Genomic DNA, 24,374 nt, shown 5'->3' with positions numbered 1-24,374 from the left:
TCTATTTTAAACATTCTAAAATGTTTTTCTTTTGCCCATGAAGCTATTCTTTTGGAGAAATTCCTGAAATACCTGGTATTTAACTTCTAAATTGGAATATCAGTCTTTTAATTCTGTTCATTACTTGTTGCTAGAATGGCTTCTGTGTCTACTTTAGGTGATACACATATAACTTTTTAAACTTTTTCTTAGTCTGTGTATTCAGCTGAATTACTACTTATAAATGGGAAAATATAGATACTTTGTTGAGTTTACAAATGAAGCAAAAAAGGTAGAAGTGGCACCAGTTTCTGTCCTGTGTTCATTTTCCCATCATTGGATCCTTCAAGGAAGATGATAATCTCCACTTTGGTTATGTTTGCTCTCAATATGCCTGTGACTTATGTCAGCTAAATGAAATTAATGGATCTTCTGGGACCATAGCTGAATAATGCTGATTCTGTATACTTCTGGTGCAGTGGAAGCGGTTGTGTAGGGTCAAGTCTCAAATTTTATCCTAAAGGAAAGAATGTAAAACAATTGCAGCAGCTCTTTTCTGTGACCAGACTTTCTCCAGCAACTCCCACCCCCCTTCATCTCTGCAGATCCAATTTTTCACTGATTTCTCTCCAAGGTTGTTACATGGAAGAATGAGAATGAGAGGGGATGCAAGGTGGGCAGGTAGCCCTGGTATCTTATTTAGTTGTACCTTCTTAAGATCCAGACGCAGAGTAGGGAATTATTAGGCAGAAAAGTCTAGTAAATCAGAAATTAATTTTGGTGTTTCTTAACACGCTTACATACTCCCTGGCCATCTCAGATCTCTAAAGGAATCACTACGTTTTCTTTTAGATTCAGTTTCAGATTTAATTACTTCATGTTGTGAAACCTATGTGATACCCCAAACCTATTCCGTTTGCCCTAGTACTTTCTCTAAATCTCTCAATAAGCATACTGCTTATCAAATTGTATTATAATCATTATGTATGAACTTGTCTTTTAAAATACACTGTGAACTCTTATCTCTGAACTCTTTTCATGTTTGTGTGTCCATCCTTTTAACACAGCATCTGACATTTCATAAGGTTGGATGAATGTTGAATAAATGAACTATCAGAACACATTTCAAAACAGTGCCAAGAATATCTTGGATACTTAAGCTTTTTAGTTGATTATATTATTTATTGAAATAATAGATCTATGAAATTGTTTTCTTCCTCTCCTAACAGGAGCAGTGTTCCCTTTCAACTTTCAAAACGAATATCCATGCAACACTCAGTGCATACAAAGTGGAGTTAGCAGAGTAAGTCTTAGAAATTATAACAGAAGGAAATATTATAGATTGGAAAGTAACATGTGTTAGATGGCTATTGTGTGCCAGATACTATGCTTATATACTTTATAAAAATTTATGTACATATGTTAAAGATAATGTAACACCCATTTATCTGTCACCCAGCATTTTTAAGTCTAAACATTTTGCTATATTTGCTTTAAAAAAGTTTAAAGAAAAACAACTTCACATATAGTTACAAACTCTATATATATGCTTCTACCATCGTATTTCCTTCCCGTCCTGCCCATGGATAACTATCCTCAATTTATTTTTTCCATGAATATATTTGTACTTTTGCTATGATAAATATAATTGTTTTATTTGTTTTATGTAAATAGGATTTTGTCATCTTTGCTTTAACATTTTATTACAAATTTTAATTTTTTGACTAAGTAAATTAGTCACAAAGTTTAAAATTCAAAATATACAAAATGACATTTATTGAAAAGTTTCCCTCCAGTCTCTGTCCCAGTCTCCTATTTCCTCTGATCAGAAGTAAGCATTGCACCAGTTTCTTAGCCAGATGCATTGTACCAGTTTCTTACCTAGATACTATTTCTTTCTCTCTCTGTCTTTTGTTTTGTTTTGTTTTGTTTTTGAGATGGAGTTTCACTCTTGTTGCCCAAGCTGGAGTGCAATGGCACCATCTCGACTCACTGCAACCTCCACCTCCAGGGGTCAAGCGATTCTCCTGCTTCAGCCTCCCGAGTAGCTGGGATTATAGGCACCCGCCACGACACCTAGCTAATTTTTTTTTTGTATTTTTAGTACAGATGGGGTTTCACCATATTGGCCAGGCTGGTCTTGAACTTCCAACCTCAGGTGATCTGCCTGCCTCGGCCTCCCAAAATGTTGGGATTACAGGCGTGAGCCACTGTGCCTGGCCTCTAGATACTATTTCTTATCCAGGAATAGACTATGCATGCACAACCATAAGTATATTTGTAAATGGAATACTAGGCAACTTTACAATGAATAAAGCAGTTAAATATGAACTGATATAGAACAATCTTTTAATATATGTGACTATACCACATTTTTTTTTCCATTTTCTGTTGATGGGCGCTTGTTTCTATATTATAATAAATGCTATTGTGACTGCCATCTATATGTTTCATTTTTACATGTTTGAGAAGTTTTCTGTGGCATAAAGTTAGAGTAGAATTACTAAGTATTCTTAATTTCAACTTTTTGATACTGCCAAATTACTCTTCAAAGCGATTTGTATGAACAGGGGCTCTGATTTGTCTATGTCCTCACCTTACTATTGTCAGACTTGAACATTGGGTGAGACAGAGGATGAGAAATTATATATTTTGGTTGGTTTTAATTTTTAATTCTCTATTACTTGTGAAGTAGAGCATCTTTTCATATGTCTAGTTTGACCATTTGGATCTCCTCTTTTGTGAATTGCCAATGCAAATTATTATCCCATTTTTCCAGGATTTTATTCTTTTTGATTTATATGCCTTTAAAATATGTTCTGGATTCTAATTATTTTTCTTATGTGCATAAAAATATTTTCTTTTCCAGGAATATGGTCTGCTAGAGAGTCATTTTTTATGTGGCATTTTTTGTTTAAAAGTTTTAAATATTAATGTAGTGATATTGTCAATGTTTTTCTTTAGGATTTCACTTTTAAAAAGTCTTCCCATTTCCAAAATTAAAAGATGTTTTCTATATATTCTTCCAAAAGCTTTGAAGATTTGCTTTCATATTTAGGTGTGTAGTCTACCTCAAGGTGATTTTTTGGATGGTGTAAGATAGAAATCTAGTTTTTCTCCTATAAGCAACTGATTGTAAAGCATAATTTATTGAATAATTCATCCTTTCCACACTGATTTATAGTGGAATCTTAATTATATAATAATTTTTCATATAGATATATCTGTTCTGGGCTCTTTATTCTGTTCTAGTGATCATTTTTGTATCTCTGTATAATCAATATCATGATGTCTTAATTACTCTGGCTTTATTATGAGTTTTCTATAAGTCATAGAAATGTTGTATTTGTTCTAGCAGCTAACATTTCCTTAATTAAATACAACAGTAATATTCATTACTTTTTGGAACCATTGACCTTCTTTCACTTTATATGTAAAAAATTAATATGTTAACATTGCAGTTTTATAGAGAAAAATCAAATTATGAATTAAATTACTTCTAAACGTACAGTTTTGTCTGCTGCTTCAATTATAATGCAAAGGCTATTAGAACCTATGTTAGAGATACTTGATATATTTTCAAACCTACCTTTATTGAGGTATAATTTACATATAGTAAGGTGAACTCATTTGTTCAATGACTTTTGAGAAATATTTATGCTATGTAATGAACCCCACAATGAAAATCTTCCATCTTCCTCCAAAATGTCCTTATATCCCCTTGCAATAATTTACCACTTACACTTAACACTAACCCCTTGCCCTCCTTCTTGCCCCACACATCCACTGATCCGCTTCTTTTAATGATAGATAAGTTAGTTTTTACTGTTCTAGAGTTTCATATAAATGAAAAATATCATGTATATTCCTTGGTGCTGGGTTCTTTTGCTCAGCGTTATGTTTATGAGATCCTTTCATGTTGTATATATCAGTAGTTGTTTTTTTTTTTTAATGTGGAATAGTGTCCTACTTTAAATATACAACAGTTTGTTTATTCATCAGTTGACAACATTGGATTGTATCTAGTTTTTAGATATTATAAATAATGCTACTATAGACTATCATGTACAAATCTTTGTGTGGAAATACACATACTACCCAGGAGTGGAATTGATAGATCATATAGTAAGTTTGTTTAGCGTTATAAGATATCATAAAATGTTTTCCAAAGTGGCCATTTTACCTTCTCATCAGTAATATGAGGGAGCTCCAGATGCTTCACAGCCTTGCCAACATTAGAATGGTCAATCTTTTTATTTTTAGCCATTTTAGTGTGTAAGTAGTGGTATCTCATTGTATTTAAATTAACATTTTCCTAATGTTTAGTGAGATTTGGCATCTTACCATGAACTTCTTTGACATCTGTTTTTCTTTCCGTTTTTCTTTCTTTAAAAAAATTTTTTTTGATGGCGTGTCTGTTCATATCTTTTTGACTATTTCTATTATTTGGGTTGTTTGTCCTTTTATTATTGAACTGCAAAAGTTCATTGAAAAATCAGTATATCATACATGCATTAATTTATTTCAAAACTATTATGATCTGTTGATTTATGTCTATCTTTATGTCAATATTGCACTTTATAGTCTACTGTAGCTTTATGATGTCTTGAAACCAGGTTGTGAAAGGTCACTAACTTCGTTTCTAAAATTTATCTTTACAATTCTAGGTCTTTTGCATTTGCATATAAATTTTAAGTGAGCTTGTCATTTTCTACAAAAAGTCTATTGGCATTTTGATTGAATTTATAGATTAATATGGGAAGAATTGACATCTTATGATCTATTAACATGACATATCCCTTGATTCTTTGTATTTTCCAGCATAGGGCTTTTGAACATCATTTATAAAATTTATAAGTGTTTCAGATATTTCGATACTGTTGTAAATGGTATTTTTTGTAAATTTTAAATTTTACTGGTTGGTTGCTAGAGTTTAGAAAAATAATTGATTTTTTATAGTGATTTTGTTAAACTCAATTATTAGATCTAGCAACTTTTTTTGTAGAGACCACCCTTACATTCTTGTGCTTATTATGATGATAATTTTACTTTTGTTTGGACTGTAAACACACAATCATTACTAATGTTTTTTTTCTTTCTGTGTTGTCTTTTAACTTTAAAAACTAAAAGAAAGAATTTTATTTTACTTTCATTTATTGCCTTTCCAGAACTTTTTATTTCTTTGTGTAAATCCATGGCTCTGTCTGGTATTATCTTTCTTTATGAACAACTTCCTTTAACCTGTTTTTCATTATTTCTTCATAACAAAGTATTTGAAAATTTTGGCTTAAAACAATAGCTTATTTTTATCTTTCATGGTCTCCTGGGATGACTGGACTGAGCTGGCCCTATCTCACTTTAGTGTAGTCATGTAGTTGCAGTCAGATAGCATCGAGGACAGGAAGCACTTAAAGGCTTGACTGGACTGGATGATGAAAATGGCTCACTCACATGGCTGTCAGTTAATACTGGCCATTGGCTTGGAGCTCAGCTGGTACTATGAACTGGAATGAGCACCTACAAATGGCCTTTCCAAGTGGCTTGGGCTTCTTATAACACTATATCTGGGTTCCAAGACTAATGTTCAAAGGGACAGGAGATAGAAGTTGCCAGTCTCTTAATATCTGGGACTGGAAACTAGCACTGTGTCACTTCTGAAATGTATATTGGTAGGAGCAGTCATAGATTTTGCCAAGATTTAAGTGAAGGAGATACAGAGTGTACCTCGTGATGAGAAGAGTATCAAGAATATGTGGCTAATTTTGATCTGTTTCAGAGTCATTTGGATTTCCTCTCCTCTGTGTTACCATTTCTTGTCCTTTGCCCATTCTCTTCTATAGGCTTTTTTATTTTTTAAAAAATTGTTTTCCTGGGAGCTCTTTTAGGTGAAACCATTTAAGATACGAATTGTAATTTTTTTTCCTGTTTACCTTTTGTCTTTTGATATTGCCTAGAAATCTCACACTTTAACTTTTCATTCTAGGAATGGAGAGTGATACGCATTTGTCTCTTTTATTCTCTTTCCTGATCTGAGTGGTATACATTTGTTTAAGATGAGTGACAAGAGGCTGGGAACATTCTTGCTATAGAATATAAAAGGGCCAGATGGGGTGCTCACACTTGTAGTCCTAGCACTTTGGAAGGCTGAGGTGGGAGGATCACTTGAGCCCAGGAGTTTGAGACCAGCCTGGGCAATGTAGCAAGATCTTGTCTCTACAAAAACTTTTGAAAAGTAGCTGGGTATGGTGGTATATGCCTGCAGTCCTAGCTCCTCAGGAGGCTGAGTTGGGAGGATGACTTGAGTTCAGGAGTTCAAGGTTACAGTGACCTATGATCACGGCACTGCACTCCAGCCTGGGTGACAGAGCAAGACGCTGTCTCAAAAAAATACAAAAAGTCTAAATAGAAAATCTGGGCATGCATATTGGGGAATTGTGCCATTGCAAAGAGCACTTGATTTGAATAAAATTATAAGAAACTTGATGCTTATCCTGCTTTACTCCTCTGTTTAACCTTTTACATTTCCTGAACTAGCCATATTTTCCCATGCTCTTCAGTACAAGGCTATTCCTTTATTCCATAAACATTAATTTTTCATCAGTTTGCCAGGCTAACTCCTACTGATCCTTCAAGAGTCAGTATAAGCATCATCTCCTATGTAAAGCCTTTCCTGGCATTTCTAAGCCAAGTTCGATACCCTGACTCAGTCCTTTTATTGTACTTTCTGCATATCTTTATTACAGAGCTTCTCAAATTTTATTATGATTTGCTCTTTTATTTTTCTGCCTTTTAGTTTGTGAGTCTCTGAGAACAGATACTGGAATGTCATGTTCATCTTTGTATTTCCTGACACAAAGCACAGTGCTTGTCATGTCATAGGCATTCTGTGTTTGTTAAATGAATGAGTTCAACGGGTCCACTACTACACATTTGGCACCTTTGCAAGAATTAGAAGAGGATTGAAAAATTATAGAAAAATACAAGTTTTCTTTTTTTTGAGTAAGATACTTTGCTGCTCTCTGCTAGAAAATATACAGCATTTCTGTGGTGAATGGTAACCCTTTAGATGCATACCCTTCACAAATTTACATAGTAGCCTTGAGTTTCAAAACCTAGCTCAGCTGTTTCTTATCTGTGTACTTTTGGCTTGGTCACCAAACTCTTCTGGTCTGATTTTCCTTACCTATAACATAGTGATCATAGCACTTGCCTTATTCCTTATAGGATTATAATTAAATGAGATAACATATAGATAATCACTGTATAAAACTTTTTGTAGGTGTACTTTTTACATGCTATTATTTGAAATAATCAGTATTTTAAGTTTTTAATATGTACAGACATGACAAGGTACAATTTTACCTTCAAGTTTGATTTTAGATCTTGCATTTAAGTAGATGTTACACACTTAGTGAAATGTGCATCTGCTAAAATTTCCGGAGGCAAGAAATTGTTTTTTTTTTTAATTTTTAGAATACCATTTTATAGTTAATTAAATACAACAGTCTAGAAGAACTTTGGAGAACCCAAATCTTAGGCATTTTCCATTTTTTTCTCCTCTACTTAAAAAGCTCTACTAAAACTTGATTTCTTTTTACATTCTTGTTTCAAGAATTTTCTACATTCTTGTTTCAATAGTGTAGAATTATCTCCATAGACTTTATTGTGTCATAGCATTAGATAATTAGTCCTACTGCCTTTAGGTGGAGTAGTTAGCATTCACAGAAATTTAAGGAATGGCTTACAACTTGTCAATACAATGATTGATGGAGCAGAGATATTTATTTTTAAGGATAGATGTCTCCAAAGAAACCTACCTTCATGATTTACCTTAATTCAGGGATGGTTTACAAACTGATTTTTGTCAGCACAAGAGGAGATAATCTCTCAGGGGTAGATAGTATTAACCAAGTTTGTAAAACTGGTTTATAAAATCAGAACACCAATTATTTTATAATGAGAAATCTTGATGTCTTGCGTTCTGGGTTCCTCTTATTGGTACAGCTGGTATATTGTTTACTTCTAGGGAGATTTATGGAAAGCTAAATTGAATCTGAGTATGTCTTGGTGAGCATGGGATCAGAAGAAAAAGATTTAGGTAAAAATGGATTTTTAAAATATCATCAGATTAGCTTAGCCAATCTTATCATAAAGATGGTCTTGCAAGTGAGACTGGAAAAACTCTGCACTAAGGCGTCTCTCTTCAAGACATAGAGCTCTACCAATGTTTCTGATTTTCTTCCTCTCATTGGATACATCAATTTTTCTTATTTCTCTTATTTCCAAGGCATTAGGTGAAACAGTCCATGGGCTTATAAAGCGACATCAGTCTCTACTTCAGAAATTAAAAAAGTAAATACTCTAGTATTATTGCAGAATTTTTGTGAATAAAAATGTGTTGTTTTCATCAATTAAATTTTCTGAATGGCATTTTTGTCAAGAAAAAATACTTTTAATGGCTATGGAATTATTTATGTTTAGGACAATAAAATTCATCTTTAGTTTTATATTCCTTTTCAACAATAATTATAATAATGCCAAAAAAACTGTAGATATATGTGAATATATTTTGAAAGATGTTTTTGTCGCTCATTTTAAATAAGCAGACTTATAATGATTGCTTATTACTTAGCTCCTACTAAATGCATTTATTATTAGGAAAATATTTTTGGGTAGTTAAACTAATTATATAAAATTTTAAAACCTGAGTTAAAAAGTTTATTTTCTTCATGTTTAACAGTGTAAGACGAATGGAATGCAAGCCTTTTCTCAAGGTCTTAATGAGCAACAGCAACAGCAGTCTCCAGTTAAGAAAGGTAAAATTTTATCATAATTCCCAATTTTATCATTGAATGTCTTAGCATTCATATAAAGTTAATATTACTTTATCACTTAGATGCAAACTTATATGAAATTTTATTATATATTTTTTGATTGATTTCTATCTATATGAGTCAGGCTACCACTTTGACTGCTTTCAAGGAGAGACCAGAATACAATGGCTTAAACAAGATAGGAGTTTATTACTAGGTTTTCTATATCACATAAAATTCTGAACTGTTGTAATGATCTTGCCCTGTGAAGTTTCTATTTTCCCACTGTTCTGTTATCTTATTGCTATGCCATCCTCAACACATGGCTTCCATCTCATGGTCCCAAGATAACTGCCTCTGCTCCTGCCATCATGTTCCTGTGTAGCCATTAGGAAGGAGGAAAGGGGAAAGGAAGTTTCCCTTAAGAGTATGACCCGGAAGTTGCACATAGTACTTCCACTTACATCACATTGCCAGAACTTGGTCATACTTTGCCTACTGGCAGGGTAGACTGGGAAACATAGTCTTTAGCAATACAGTTAATTCTATTACTGAAGCAAAAAGAAAAAACTGCTCTAGGGGAGAACCAATAGTCTCTCCCACACTAGCTATTTTAAAAATAAAATAAAATGATTTTAGTTTCCAAATTTTTGTCAATTAATGTATGTAGTTTAAAAGTTTGAAGTATGAAAAGACCATTAATTTTTTTCTTCTAATATTTATCCTCATATTTCTAAATACAATTATTTCCAAATTTCTTAATTTTTGAAAACTTTATATTGACATTTTATCTTGGTAAATGAGAACTTACATCTTTCACATCAGTTTCTTCACTTCTTCACCTTTTCATCTCCCCACCACATAGTTATTTCACAAGTTTCAATTAAAGTGTTACTCACTCTTTATACTACTATGACTGTGTAAAATATAACTGCTTAGCCAAGAGGTGCACATCTCCCTTTTCATACAGTTTATTGTTTTTTCTAAAGCGAATGTTTGCCTTATTTTTCTATGTTATCTATTGTTAACTCTTTTACTAAAATGCTCCAACAACTCTGTCACACTTGTTTTATACTATTTATGCTCAAGTATATCAGTTCTTTTTTTCCTTACATGGGACATTCCTTTCAGAATACTCCATTATCCTATTCCAATATGGACTAGTTGTTCTTTAGTACTAATGTGCAGCTTTTTTTCCGGAGTGGACTTTTGTTATTATCTTGGGATATCCCTTTATAATCCTTTGGTTTCTTTTTTAAAAAATTGAAGTGGAATTCACCCAGTCACCATTTTAACCATTTAAAAATGTACAATTAAATGGCTTTTAGTACATTCACAATTGTTGTGCAACAATACTACCAATTTCAGAACATTTTTATCACCCTAGAAAGAAACCTCATACTCATTAAGCTGTTACTACTTTCTCTTCTCTCTGCTTAGGCCATGTAGTAGACACTAAGCTATTTCTGTCTCTTTGGATTTAGCTATTTGGTCATATCATATAAATGGAATTATACAATATGTCACCTTTTTTCAATTTATTTTTTAAATTGATATATAATAGCTGTACATATTTTATATCAATTAAAATAATTGAGGGCACGTGATATTTTCATAACTATGTACAATGTGTAATGATCAAATAAGGGTAATTGAGATATCCATCACATTTACCTTTCTCTTGTGAACAATATGTGACCTTTTGTGTCTGGCTTCTATCACTTTCCATAAGGTTTTCAAGGTTCATCATGTTTTAGCACTATTAGTAGTTTATTCCTTTTTATGACTAAATAATATTCCATTGTGTGGATTATGCCACATTTTGTTATCCATTTCTCAACTGACACACATTTGAGTTGTTTTCACTTCTTGGCTATTGTGAATAATATTGCTGTGGACATTTGCGTACAAGTTTTTGTTTCAACACTTGTTTTCATTTCTCTCAGGCATATACCTAGGAGCCGACTTGCTGGATCATTGGTAGTTGTGTGTTTAACATTTTAAGGAACTGCCAAATTGTTTTTCACAGCAGTTCTACCATTTTACATTCTTAGTTGCAAGGTACTAGGGTTTCCAACCTCTCAATATTCTTGCTATTATTATCTCTGTTTATTATAAGCAATCCTAGTGGGTGACAAGTGGTATCTCATTGTGGTTTTGATTTGCATTTTCTTATGATTATGATACTGTTTTTTCGTGTGCTTGTTGGCTATTTCTATTTCTTTTTTGGATAAATGCTTTATTCAAGTTGTTTAACAATATTTTAACTGGGTTGTTTGTTATTGAGTTGTTTTGTTATTGAGTTGCAAGACTTCTGGATATTAGACTCTTATCTATTATCTATTATTCTCCTTCCTGCCACCATTCTCCTTCCAGTGTGTGCATATATATATATATATATATATATATATGTTGTCTTTTCATTCTCTACTGGAGATTGTGTTATTCTCTTGATAGGGTGTCTTAATGCACAAATTTTTTAGCTTCGATGAATTTTAACTATTTTTCCTTTTGTTGCTCGTGTTTTTGGTGTCATATCTAACAAATCATTGCCAAATCTAAGGTCATTAAGATTTACCCGTTTCCTTCTAAGAGTTTTATAGTTTTAGCTCTGGCATTTAGGTCTTTTATCTATTTTGAGTTAATTTTTATATATGATGGGAAATAAAAGTCCAACTTCATTGTTTGTCATGTGGGTATCCACTTGTCCCATTGTAATTTGTAAAACAGGCTATTCTTTTTTCATTGAATGGACTTGGCACCTTTGTTGAAAATCAGTTGACTATAGGTGTATGTGTTTAATGTGTTTATTCCTGGACTCTTAATTCTGTTCTCTTGTTTTATATGCCTGCCCTTATGTCAGTACCACATTTTTTTGATTACTATAGCTTTGTAGTAACTGTTAAAATTGGGAAGTGTAAGTCTTCTAACTTTGTTCTTTTTCCAAATTGTTCTGGCTGTTTAGGGGTCTTTGCAATTCCATTTGATATTTTGAGATCAACGTTTCCATTTCTGCAAAAGAGGCCATTAGAAATTTGATAGGGATAGCGTTGAATTTATAGATCACTTTGAGAGGAATATTGCCAACTTAACAATATTAAATCTGACAATCCATAAATATAAGAAATCTTCCCATTTAGGTATTCTTTAACTTCTTTTAGCAATATTTTACAGTTTTCAGTGTACAAGTCATGTACCTCCTTGGTTAAATTTATTCCTAAGTACTGTATTCTTTTTGATGCTATTGTAAATGGAATCTTTTTATTATTCATTGATCATATATAAAATAAATTTATTTCATGGGGGACATTACTATGAATTTATGAAAATGAAAAACATTATGAGAATATTATGAACAGTTAGTTGTATGCCAAAAACTAGATAACCTACATAAAATAGAAAAATTATTAGGAACACAGAATTTACCAAAACTAACTCAAGAAGAAATATAAAATCTGAACAAACCTATAGCAAGTAAGAAGATTGAATTAGTAATTAAAAACCTCCCAACAAAGAAAAGTTCAGGACTAGATTGCTTCTCACCAGTAAATTCTACTAAACACTTGTCTACTAAACACTTGAAGAACAATTAACACTAATCCTCAAACTATTCCCAAAAACATGAAGAGGGGTAACACTTCCAGTGAGGCCAGTATTATTCTGATACCCAAAGGCAAAGACATCAGAAGAAAAGAAAACTGTAGCCAATATCCCTTCAAATATAGATACAAAAATTCTCAATAAAATACTAACAACTTTTTATTATCAACATAGTAAAAAGATTATATACCATGTCCAAGTGGGATTAATCTCAAGAATGCAAGGGTGAGTCAACATATCAAAATCAGTAATAATACACCACATTAACAGGATTCAGGGGAAAACACATGATCAACTCAATTGAAGAAAAAGCATTTGACAAAACACAACACGCCATCAAGAACAAGATAAGGGTGCCCACTTTCACTGTTTCTTTTTTCAATGTTATGTTGAAAGTTCTAGCCATAGCAGTTAGGCAAGAAAAATGATAAATGGTATTTAAGTTGGGAAAGATGAAGTAAAAGCATCTCTATTCACAGAGAACACAGTCCTATACAGATGTTCCCCAATTAGGATGGTTTGACCTATGAGTTTTTGATTTTACGATAGTTCAAAAACAATATCTGTTCAGTAGAAACTGTACTTTTCTCATGATGCTGGGCAGCATCAGCAAGATGCCACTTCTAGTCAGCCATGCATTTTCATCTTTTGCTATTTTTAACTTATAATGGGTTTATTAGGATATAACTCCATTGTAAGTTGAGAAGCATCTGTGTATATAGAAGATCCTAGAGAATTCACATAAACTATTAGAGCTAATAAAAATAAATTCAACAAAGTTGCAGGATGCAAGACCATTGTTGTTTATTATTTTAGTAATTTGAGTCATTTTTTTCCTAATCAGTCTTGGTAAAGGTTTTTTAGTTTTTATCTTTTCAAAAAACCAACTTTTTTTTTTTTTTGGTGAGTCGCCTAAAGACAGCAGAGACTTGGTTGGTGAATTCTTTATTATTATTATTATTATTATTATACTTTAAGTTTTAGGGTACATGTGCACAATGTTCAGGTTAGTTACATATGTATACATGTGCCATGCTGGTGCACTGCACCCACTAACTCATCATCTAGCATTAGGTATATCTCCCAATGCTATCCCTCCCCCCTCCCCCCACCCCACAACAGTCCCCAAAGTGTGATGTTCCCCTTCCTGTGTCCATGTGTTCTCATTGTTCAGTTCCCACCCATGAGTGAGAATATGCAGTGTTTGGTTTTTTATTCTTGCGATAGTTTACTGAGAACGACGATTTCCAATTTCATCCATGTCCCTACAAAGGACATGAACTCATCATTTTTTATGGCTGCATAGTATTCCATGGTGTATATGTGCCACATTTTCTTAATCCAGTCTATCATTGTTGGACATTTGGGTTGAAAAAACCAACTTTTGATTTTGCTGATTTTCTCTGTTGTTTTTATAGTCTCTATTTCATTTCTCTTCACTCTGATCTTTATTATTTAGTTCATTTTTTTCTAGTATTTGATTTAGTTTGCTCTTTTCTCCTAGTTCCTTAATGTGTAATGTTAGATATGGAGTTATTTCTTCTTTTTTAATATAGACATTTATAGCTATAAACTATGATCTGAACACTGTTTTTGCTGCATCTCATAAATTTTGATATGTTGTGACTTTGCTTTCATTTGTCACATATTTTCTAAGTCCCCTGTTGTTTATTCTTTGATGCATTGGCTGTATAAGAGTGTGTTTTAATTTACACATATTTGTGAATTTTCCAGTTTACTTCTGGTTTTGATTTCTAGTTTTATTTCAGTGTGGTCATAGGGCATACTTTGTATGATTTGAATCTTTTTTAAATTTATTGAGACTCTTTTGTGGCCTAACATATGAGTTCATCCTGGAGAATGTTCCATGTGTGTGGAACATGTGTGCTGTGGTTCCATGTGTGCTTCAGAAGAATGTATATTCTGCTGTTGTTGGGTAAAGTGTTGTATATATGTAATTAGGTTAGTTGGGTTGTGGTGTTCATATTCTGTTTTCTTGTTGATCTTCTGTTAAGTTTTCCTATCCAATATTGAGAATGGGATATTGTAGTCTCCAGTTATTAATGTTAAAATGTCCATTTCTGTGCTTAATTCTGTGTTTTTCTTTCTGTTGTTGGGTATATATGTGCTTACAATTCTTATATCTTCTTGATGAATTGATGCTTTTATCATGGCATAAATGTCCATTGTCTCTTATAACAATTTTTGTCTTAATGTCTATTTTTGTCTAATGTTAGTATACTCACTTCAGCTCTCTTTTGGTTACTGCTTGAATTGAATATCTTTTACAGTCTTTCAGTTTCAACTTATTTTTGTCATTGGATCCAAAATGAGTCTCTTGTAGACAGAATATAATTAGATGATTTTTAAAAATTCATTCTACCAATCTCTGCCTTTTATAATAATTGAAAAGTTTAGTACATTTACATTTAATGTAATTAACTGATAAAAAAGGACTTAATCTTCCCATTTTGCTATTTGTCTTCTATACGTCTTTTTTTGTTACTTAATTCCTCCATTATATTTTTGTGTTTAATAGATATTTTCTAGTATACTATTTTTATATCCTTTTAGTTTGCTTTACTATATTTTTTATGTTCCTAGTTGCTGTGTTGGGTATTAATTTAATATATAACAAACTAGTTTGAATTAATATCAACTTAGTTCCAATGTTATATAAAACATTGCTCCTATATATATTTCTAAAGTCACCTTTATGTTGTTGTTGTCATAAATTACATCTTTACACATTCTGTAATATATCAACCTAGATTTATAATTATGCATTTGTATGCACTTGTCTTTTAAATCATATGGGAGAAAAGGATGAATTTCATACTGAAAATTTATTGATGCTTTTATATTTACCTGTGTAGTTACATTTACTGGTGTTCTTTATTTCCTCATGTGGATTTTAGTTGTGTACTATCCTTTAAGTCTGAAGGATTCCCTTTAGCATTTCTTGTAAGACAAGTTTACAAGCAGTAAACTGTCAGTATTTGGTTATCTGTGAATGTCTCCATTTCTGCTTCATTTTTGAAGGAGCTTTTGTCAGATATAGATTTCTTGATTGACATGTTTTTGATTTCAGCACTTTAAATATGTCATCACATGACTTCTGACATCCATAGTTTCTGATGAGAAATCAGCTGTTTATCTGATAGATAATCTCTTGTAAGTGATGAATTGCTACTGTCTTTCTGACCTCAAGATTTTCATTGACAGATTGATTATGATGTATCTATGTGTGAAGAATCTCTTTTATTATACAGATAGATGCTCCTTAATTTATGGTGGGATTACTTCCCAATAAACCCATCATAAGTTGAAAATATAATATGTTGGTTATGAGAGTCTTTGGCCCAGAGAGTCTTTGGTCACAGAATCACCAGTGCTTAAAGTTGGAAATCTTGAATTGCTTTCACATCATCATAAAGTCAAACAATTGTAAGTCAAACCATCATAAGTTGGGGGTTGTCTGCATTCTATTTGTAGTTTGTTGAACTTCTTAGATGTATAGATTCTTTTTTTGTTGTTAAATTTTGGAAATTTTATTCCACGATTTCTTCAAATATCATTTCTTCTCCTTTTTCTCTCTCTTCTCCTGGGACTCCCATTATTTATTTGTTGGTATGCTTGATGGTAATCCATAAGTGTCTTAGGCTCTGTTCATTTTCTTTATTCTTTTTTCTTTCTACTCCTCAGACTGAATAATGTTAATTGAATTCCTTTTAAATTTGCTGATTCTTTCTTCCACCTGCTCAAATCTGCTGTTGAAACCCTCTCATGAATTTGTCATTTCCGTTATTGTACTTCTCAATAATTTCTATCTGGCTTCTTCTTATAAGTTCCATCTCTTTATTGATGTTCTCTATTTAATGAGACACTCTTCTCATAATTTTCTTTAGCTCTTTGAGCATATTTAAAATAGTATATTGAAAGCCTTTCACAAGTAAATTCAATGTCTTGGCTTCCTTACTGAAAATTTCTATTTCTTTTTTTCCAGTGAATGAGCCCATCCTTTCTTCATTCTTTGCATGCTTTATAATTTTTGTTGTGGTGGTTGAGAACTGGACATTTTGAATGTTATAAATGTGGCTGCTCTGGAAGTCAGATTTTCTTCCTTCCCTTGGGTTTGTTGTTGCTCTTTGTTGTAGTAGTTGTTGTTAGCTTAGTGACTTTTCCAAACTAATATTGTAAAATCTATATTCTTTGTCATGCATGACCATGGAAGTCTCTGTTCTGTTATCTTAGTGGTCAGCTGGTGATTTGACATAATTGCCTTCAATGGCTAGAACCATACCAAACTGAAAAACAAAGAAGCCCCTCTTTCAGCCTTTGCATAAGGCCTCTATGTATTTTGAGGTATTACCTCAATTCTGCCTTCACCTTCATTTCCTGCTTGGTAGGAATCTGAAAGTCAGCCAGGAGTGAGTGCTTAGGATCTTCTCAAGTTTTTCTGTGAACATGAGCCTAGCTTTGACATGCATGTGGGCTTCTAGAAAGAATATTTGGGATTCTTTCACTGCCCTTCTACCTCAAAGCATCCTGTTTTTTCAGTTTTTCCTCCGAAACTTTTTGGTATGCCTAATGTTTGCTCCAATTGTTATCCCTTGTCTCAGGTGGAAGCAACTGATACATTTTCCTGTAAATGTTTGGACAAATGGACTTTGGGCAGCAGCTTTAATGCTAGGAGAATTCTTAGTTAGGTGTGAAGTACAGGCAAGCTTCTCAAGATGGTTCCTCAGGGAACTATAAGAAAGGTCAAAACAAATAATCATAATTTTTTGAGAATAAAGTCTGTACTACTCCCTCCAGTTCTGGGAACCTATAAAAGTAATGAGGGCTGTTGTCTTCAAGGCCATGGCCTATCTGGGGGATGGTCCCAGGTAAGTTAAATGCCACAAAATTTTTCCCAAATTTAGCTATTTTTTTTTCTTCACTAAGTATTCCCCTGGTTTTTACAGGCTTTGGGTTAGAGTCCAGGGTTCTGAGAAAGTTGATTCTGACAGTTTTTATGAGCTTACTTGTTGTTTTTGTGGAGTGAAAGACTTTTAGAGTTCTCTACTTGGCTATTTTCCCTGACTTCACTTACCTCCATTTCTTGAATTTTATGTTTTCTTCTTTATTGATTTATGTCCTCATTTTGCTCAAGTACATTCTCCAGGAGTTTCGTGAAAAAAGGGTATTGGGTTGGTGAATTCTTTGAGTTTGCATATTTGAAAATATCTTTATTCTGTTCTCACACTTGATTGATGGTTTGGCTACGTAGAATGTTCCAGATTAAGGATGAACCTCAAAAATGTTAAATGAAAGAAGCCAGACCCAAAATTTTTGGTAAGTTAATTTTTCCTCGATGTATTTCAGAACTGTGTATTAGGAACAACACATTAATAATTGTTACCTGTTAGTTGATAGGATGTAAGGATAGTAATTCAACCCTTCTTATTCCTAGTCTTTTCATGTGTATCTTTTTATATCCATTTACTTTCAACTTATATGCCTTTATATTTAATATGTGTCTCTTGCAGACAGCATATAATAGGGTCTTCTTATTTTTTAAATCCACTCTGTCAATTTGTAGTCTTTAATGTAATGTTTAGGGGGTCAGTAAATTATGGTTTACAGACCAATTCCTGTTTTTATAAATAAAAATGTATTGAAACATAGCCACACCCTTCATCTATATATTATCTGTGGTGGCTTTTGCTTTTAACAGTAATACATATTTCTTAAAATAAAACTTAGAGAAAAAAAGGAATCTGTTATACTTACCCACCTATTTACCATCTCTTTTGCTCTTCATTTCTGAACAGTAAAGTTTCCATCTAGTATAATTCCCTTCAGCCTGTAGAAATTCCTTTAGCATTTCTTGAAGGTCACATCTGCTAGTGATGGATTCTTTCAGTTTTACTTTATCTGAAAATGTCTTTCCTTCACATGTATTTCTGAGGGTTTTTTCCCCCCCACTGGACATGAAATTCTGGGTTACCGTTCTTTTCTTTTAGCACATTAAAAATATTATTCCATTGTCTTCTGGGACAGCATATAATCTGTCTTGGTGATTGTTTCTGGTAATCATTTCTGATTTGAAATCTGCAGATATTTGAAACATTGTTCTCCTTGAAGATAGGGGCCCTATCTTGGGTCCTATTCATTATTACCTAGCACAGTTCCTGATACATAGTAAGATGTACAATAAATGTTTCTTGAATTTATTTTTATTGTGTTAAGTTTTTAGTATTGATTGAGACTTGATAGACTCATTAAAGTAACATTTTGGCAGATCTGAATTGCCCAATAGTTATTACTGTGGTTATATTTTACACAAGATCATTTTACTAGACCTGAATAACCAGATGAAAAAAGCCATGCATTTCCCATTTTCTTAATTATATTTCTTTCATTGTTTCCTTGGTTACTTGGTTTTCTTTCTATGTAAAAGGAGAATTGGAGGCAGTAGATGCTTGTCAAAGCCTTTTTTCTCCTTCTCTTTTGCATAGACACACGACTCATCATTTTATATAATGAATAGAGGACATCCAGAAAGAAATGAACCAAAAAGTGATCTAGACAGCCCTACATTTCCTAACATTATATTTGATGTTTAATATCTACAGAGAGAATTAAATACAGCAGAGATTTCCTGTTGAAGCTCTCAAGTGTTTCCATCTGCAGAAAAAAACCAGACTTTCTGCCTGATCATCCCATTGTACTGCAAAAACCAGTAAGTAGTTTTCTAAGTTTGTATTGTAATATTATATTACAAAATATTTTTCTTTAACATTTTCATCAGACTCTACCTCTAGATTTTTAACCTTCCTTATTATAAGATATAAGTAATTCAGAAAACTACAAAAATCTAAAGATATAACCAATTATTATAAAGTAACTCTGTTCAAAAAATAGAATGGAATAGCTGTATTTTGTTTAAGAAATATTTTTAATGGAAAGGTCATGAAAATATTATCCCATACTCTAAAAGTTTTATTTTTTCAATTAAATTATATTGTCCACCTGGAATTAATTTTACTCTATGATGTGAGGTGGGCATCAAGTTTTACCTTTTTCTACATAGATATCCAGTCATTTTAAAAATATTTATTGAAAGGGTACTTCTCTGACATCTTTGTGGCAATGTATGCATGGTCTGTTAATGGGCTATCCATTCTGTTCAATTAGTCTTTTTATACATTATAACAAATCATCTCATGTATTTTTCTTTAACATGTCTTTGCTATTCTTAGCCCTTTATATTTCTGTGTTACCTTATCAAATTCCATCTAAATAAATACACATAATAAATACATACATGCATCTCTTAGGATATTCATTGGAAAGGACATGGATTTTGTCATCAGACATGGCTTCAAATTGTAGCTCCATTCTGTGTACCGGTAGTTCGAACTTGGACAAGTCACTTAACCTCATTGAATTGCTGATAAGGATGATAAGTTTTGCAATTGCTGATAAGGATGATAATCTCTGGCTGTTAGGATTAATAAAATAATGCATGAGATTACTGAGTATGATACCTTTCTCTCATTATGCTTTTAGTAAATGATTCCCATTCTTTGTGGTCTCTACTTACATTTGACTGGAATTTAACTTCCTATTAGAGTTTTCGTAAATACCTTTATATAGGTAAAGGCAGCTAGGACTCTTCTGAAATGAGATTCAGAATATAGGTATACTGAGAACAGTTCGAATGGGAGATAAACACTACTACCTTCTATCTCCATTTTTGGTATTCTAATTCTTTGGAATTCATAGTATTTTTTTCCTCAAATTATAATTTTTAAAAAACATTATGTTGTTCATAGTTTATATTAATATTTCTTAAACTCCCTAACTTTAGATCTCTAGCCAATTCTTTTTAAAGTTAATTAAAGCAGGAATTAAAATTTTTTATAATACTTCTCATGCATAAATATTAAATAAGAAAAAATGTACTTGATGTTTCAACTTTCCCACCGGTTCAAAGATCTTTGGGATATGTAATCCATGGTCTGTAAGAATAAATGTAAACTTCAGTGCTATATAAACTATAGTCACTTTTTCATTTGTAGACTTTCCATCTTTAATAACATTTTATTGTGTAAATAAAAGCTTGACATACACTTTTTAAAACAAACTTGTACATTAGAATTCATTTTACTTGTGATTTACACATTAATACATATTTTAAACCTAGGTGCCACAGAAACAGAAGAACAGGTTTGGAATACAATTTAATATATTTTAAAATGAGTTACATATATTTTAAAAACATGAGCCGTTTTGTTATTTGACAGTTCTAGTTACTTTAATAGTTTCTATGGTAACATGCATTTAAATCTGTAAACACCTGGTACGTTCACAGTATTTGGTTTGATAAACTAATTAGTAAAAACTGTATTCAATCAATTGATAAATTAACTTTTTCTTTTATATTACAGGAAAACAACCAAAGTTTTAAGTAGCATTTTAAGAACAGATGAATTTAAGTTTGGACATCTGCAAATGAGGTGGATCTAGCAACAATAACTGTAATGGACTGTGACAATTCAATTTATTCTTAATTTTGATGGTTGGCTATTTGACTTCTCTAAAAATGAGAAAGAGCTATTTTAAAATATAAAGAATTTTCTAATCAGTTTCAGCTTTGCAGGAGGTTTCCTGCATAAATTGGGAAGTAACACTGGAAAGTAGGAATTTGGTTAGTGAAGTGGGAAGACTGTATATTTATAATTTGCATACTACTTGCAATTTTTTGTTTTTCATCACTTGTAATAATGGAATGGAAATGTAAGCTGTAAAGACTCTCAAATATAAAATATTTGCTACAGTGTATATATGGTACATAATTGCTTGTTGCTTTTAAAGTTCCTTCTGTTGTTCTGCTTCCCACTGATTTCATACCAGCTCATGAATGGATCATTACAGTCTCTCCAGAGGCTTAGAATGATTCAGAATGTTCAATGCATAGTTCTCAATAAACAGGAGGCAGAATTTTTAATGGGTATTTCTTTTCAGATATATGATTGGTCTCTAGGTTTTTGATAATAATATGGTCTTAAATTCATAATTACTAGCAGAGATTGATAATTTGGAAACAATGGTAGTGAATGAAACTGAAGTTGAAAAACGGCTGCTACTTATGTCACTAATCAGACCATATGAATAGCAGAAGTTGAGCAATTTCAAAGTAAAACTGATATTTTTATTTCCAAAGGAATTTAGACATTTGAAAATAATTGACATACATTAAGTTTTAATTCGATAATTTCTTATATATGGATGAACAATTTTTGGGTTTAAGCTTTTAATTCCTAGAAATTTTATACATTAAATCTCCTGCAATTTGTCACTCTGGATGTTACTGTTTAAAAAAAAAAAAAAAAAGGGTTTCTTCCAGAAAAATCTGCTGATATATAGGTAAGTAAGTGTAAACTCTCCCTAATTCTATTTCTTAGATCCCTAGGTCTATTGGCAAAAAGTTTGTTTCACTGAATTTTGAACTCCTAAACCAGTACTTTTTTTTTCACTGTTTTTTGAGCTTGTTTCCCAGATTCAAGCTTGTATTCCATGTTACGTTTCCCATCTTGGTCTTTTAGTGACCTCTTTTTTTTATTTTTTAATTTTTTAAATTTTTTTTTATTTTACTACTTTGTTCTTTAGGAAAATGGGGTTTTAAATAGAAAAAAATCTTCGTTAACTATAAACTTATTGTTTACTTTAGGATGAGATATTTATACTTAGGTCCCAGTTTTTTCTTTTTTTTTCTTTTTTCTTTTTCTTTTTCTTTTTTTTTTTGGCCCTACTAGTTTCCTTTTCTACTATAGGTTCCAGTATATATGTGTATGTGAATACACACTCACACACATTCACATACATACAACTCTCACAAACATACACAAAAATACATGTATAATTTGTATAAGAGCTGGGGTCAGAATGACCATATAATTATATTGGTTTGCTTTGTTATTTGCCCGTTCTCAAGTCATTCTAATTCTTGTTTCAGAATATGATAGAGCTTATTCCAGTTTGGAATCTGCAGATCCCTTCCACTTAGTACTGTTAATGAAAACAGAACCCTTTTAACAAGTAATACTACCATGCTACTTTGGAAACTGCCTAGTACCCAAAATATTTGATATGCTTTTTGAGTTGGATACTTAAATGCACCAACCAAAGCAATGTTTTGATTGGCTATAATTTGTATTTTTGAAACCATTTACAACAAACATTCTCAAGAAGAGTTTGTATGTCAAAAGTCATTTAGGTTTTAAAGTCTTTTGATCTTTTCTTACTATATACAATCAGTCTGCAGAGACTGTTATGTGTCTGTTTGCCTTTGTACATATATATAGCTTGTTTGAATAATCATTGTGCATCTCCATTAATGTTGTTCTTTGCTTTGTATATAAATTAAAAGAGTTGACCCAGGTGTTGTTACACAGTGTCTGTCATCCTTAGAGTTGACCAGAGGCACACAAATACACACACACACACACACACACACACACACACACACACACACGTGTGTATGTACAATATATCAAAATTTACTACTTATTTCTAATAGAACTATGAAAGGATTTTAAAATTTTATTTATACTGAATGAGAACTGAGAGTATACAAAGGTATTGGTAAAAGTTGCTGTTTCATGAATTAGTTTGAGAAAATATTTTAGGTCAAATTTATATTTAAGAAATAAAATTTTATTAGTTCAATCTTCCTTTTTTCCTGAGTTTTTCAAAGGGGGAAAAACAGGAAAATTTTACCTTATAATTTTCCTCAAAGACTTATAGTTTCAAAGGAATTTATACTAGAAAATAACATGGCTATACATTTTTATATGTATTGTATTTTCATTAGCAAGGTTTATAACCAGAACAGATTTTTATTATTAAAAATATTTAATTTCTGAGCTTGTTGAGCAGAGTGTAGATAGTATACTATCTACAGATAGTTCTATAGGTAGATAGTTTTAGTCATTCTAGTGTTGAAATTCGAAAACAGATGTCTTCTGTCTAATACTTTCACTACTATTTTATGACTTCCCTAAGATTTTGTGCTTGTTTTATATTTCTTAGTTATTCATTTGGGTTAAAATTTTATTTTTCAAGTATTTTGAAATCATTGTTTACATGCAAATATGTATTTTTCATAAGAAAAGTTAGCTGTCTGTATCGCATACCAAAACTATATAGCATAAAACTTGAACCACATTTTTCCAAACAGTCTCTTCTTTCTTGATATATTTAACTTACATAACAAAGAATTATGATGCTAATAAATGACACAATGTTGCTGTATTACTAAATGGTACTCCAACTTATCACAGGATTGTTCACTTTTGAAAAACCAGTCTATAACCTGATACGTGGATAGAGATTCTATAGGTTACAGCCAAGGTTGTTTGATGCCTATATACTAACTTTTTAACTAATGCAAAGATAGTAGTCATAGGGCTGTGAGTTGGGTTGGGGATGGAGTAGACATTGTTGAAGAATAAACTTCACTCACAGTTACTTAAAAATCACAAAACGCTGATTTAACCCTTTACAGTATACGACAGTTTACAAAATCTGCCCTATGAAGTAATACTCTAAAAGTTTCCACTTTATTTTTTCTTTATCATAACAGATTCATTTTCACAATATTATTCCTTTATGCATATGCTTTTTTCCACATATTAGGATTTTGTCACTAAAAGGTTTTAGGTGAGTTACAATGTAGCAAAGCATTTAGCATTAAATATTGAGAATATTAGTGAACTTTGAAAATTGAGCTAAAATTCACATGAATTGATAAAGTTATAGAATAAGTTTTGAAAGAGTGCACTTAGTAAATATACCAAACAAAAATATACAGTAGATTAACAACCGCAGATAATTTTCTAATTGACGTTTTAGATAAGAACACCTGTTTTGCACTTGGAACCATAAAGAAAATGTCTAGGAACATCTAGTTGTTCAGGATCCACCACGAAG

At 31.9% G+C, this 24,374-nt stretch overlaps 2 protein-coding genes across 4 annotated transcripts in view; one reads left to right on the top strand and one right to left on the bottom strand.

Moving 5' to 3' along the window:
- The window catches only part of C8orf88 (chromosome 8 open reading frame 88), a 26,923-nt gene extending 5,533 nt beyond the window's left edge, over positions 1–21,390 (top strand). For both annotated transcript variants that reach the window (NM_001363275.2, NM_001190972.2), the window contains exons 3-6: positions 1,209–1,282; positions 8,720–8,795; positions 19,013–19,119; positions 20,831–21,390. In NM_001363275.2, coding sequence (NP_001350204.1) covers positions 1,209–1,282; positions 8,720–8,795; positions 19,013–19,119; positions 20,831–20,854 — 281 coding nt within the window. In that variant the 3' untranslated portion in view covers positions 20,855–21,390. The remainder of the gene's footprint in view (positions 1–1,208; positions 1,283–8,719; positions 8,796–19,012; positions 19,120–20,830) is intronic.
- Positions 20,468–24,374, bottom strand: part of NECAB1 (N-terminal EF-hand calcium binding protein 1) — a 167,619-nt gene continuing 163,712 nt past the window's right edge. For both annotated transcript variants that reach the window (NM_022351.5, XM_011517213.3), the window contains one exon: positions 20,468–24,374. In NM_022351.5, coding sequence (NP_071746.1) covers positions 24,349–24,374 — 26 coding nt within the window. In that variant the 3' untranslated portion in view covers positions 20,468–24,348.

Source organism: Homo sapiens, chromosome 8 (genome assembly GCF_000001405.40).
Source record: "Homo sapiens chromosome 8, GRCh38.p14 Primary Assembly".
NCBI lineage: Eukaryota > Metazoa > Chordata > Mammalia > Primates > Hominidae > Homo > Homo sapiens.
This window is presented reverse-complemented; position numbering and strand designations above follow the sequence as displayed.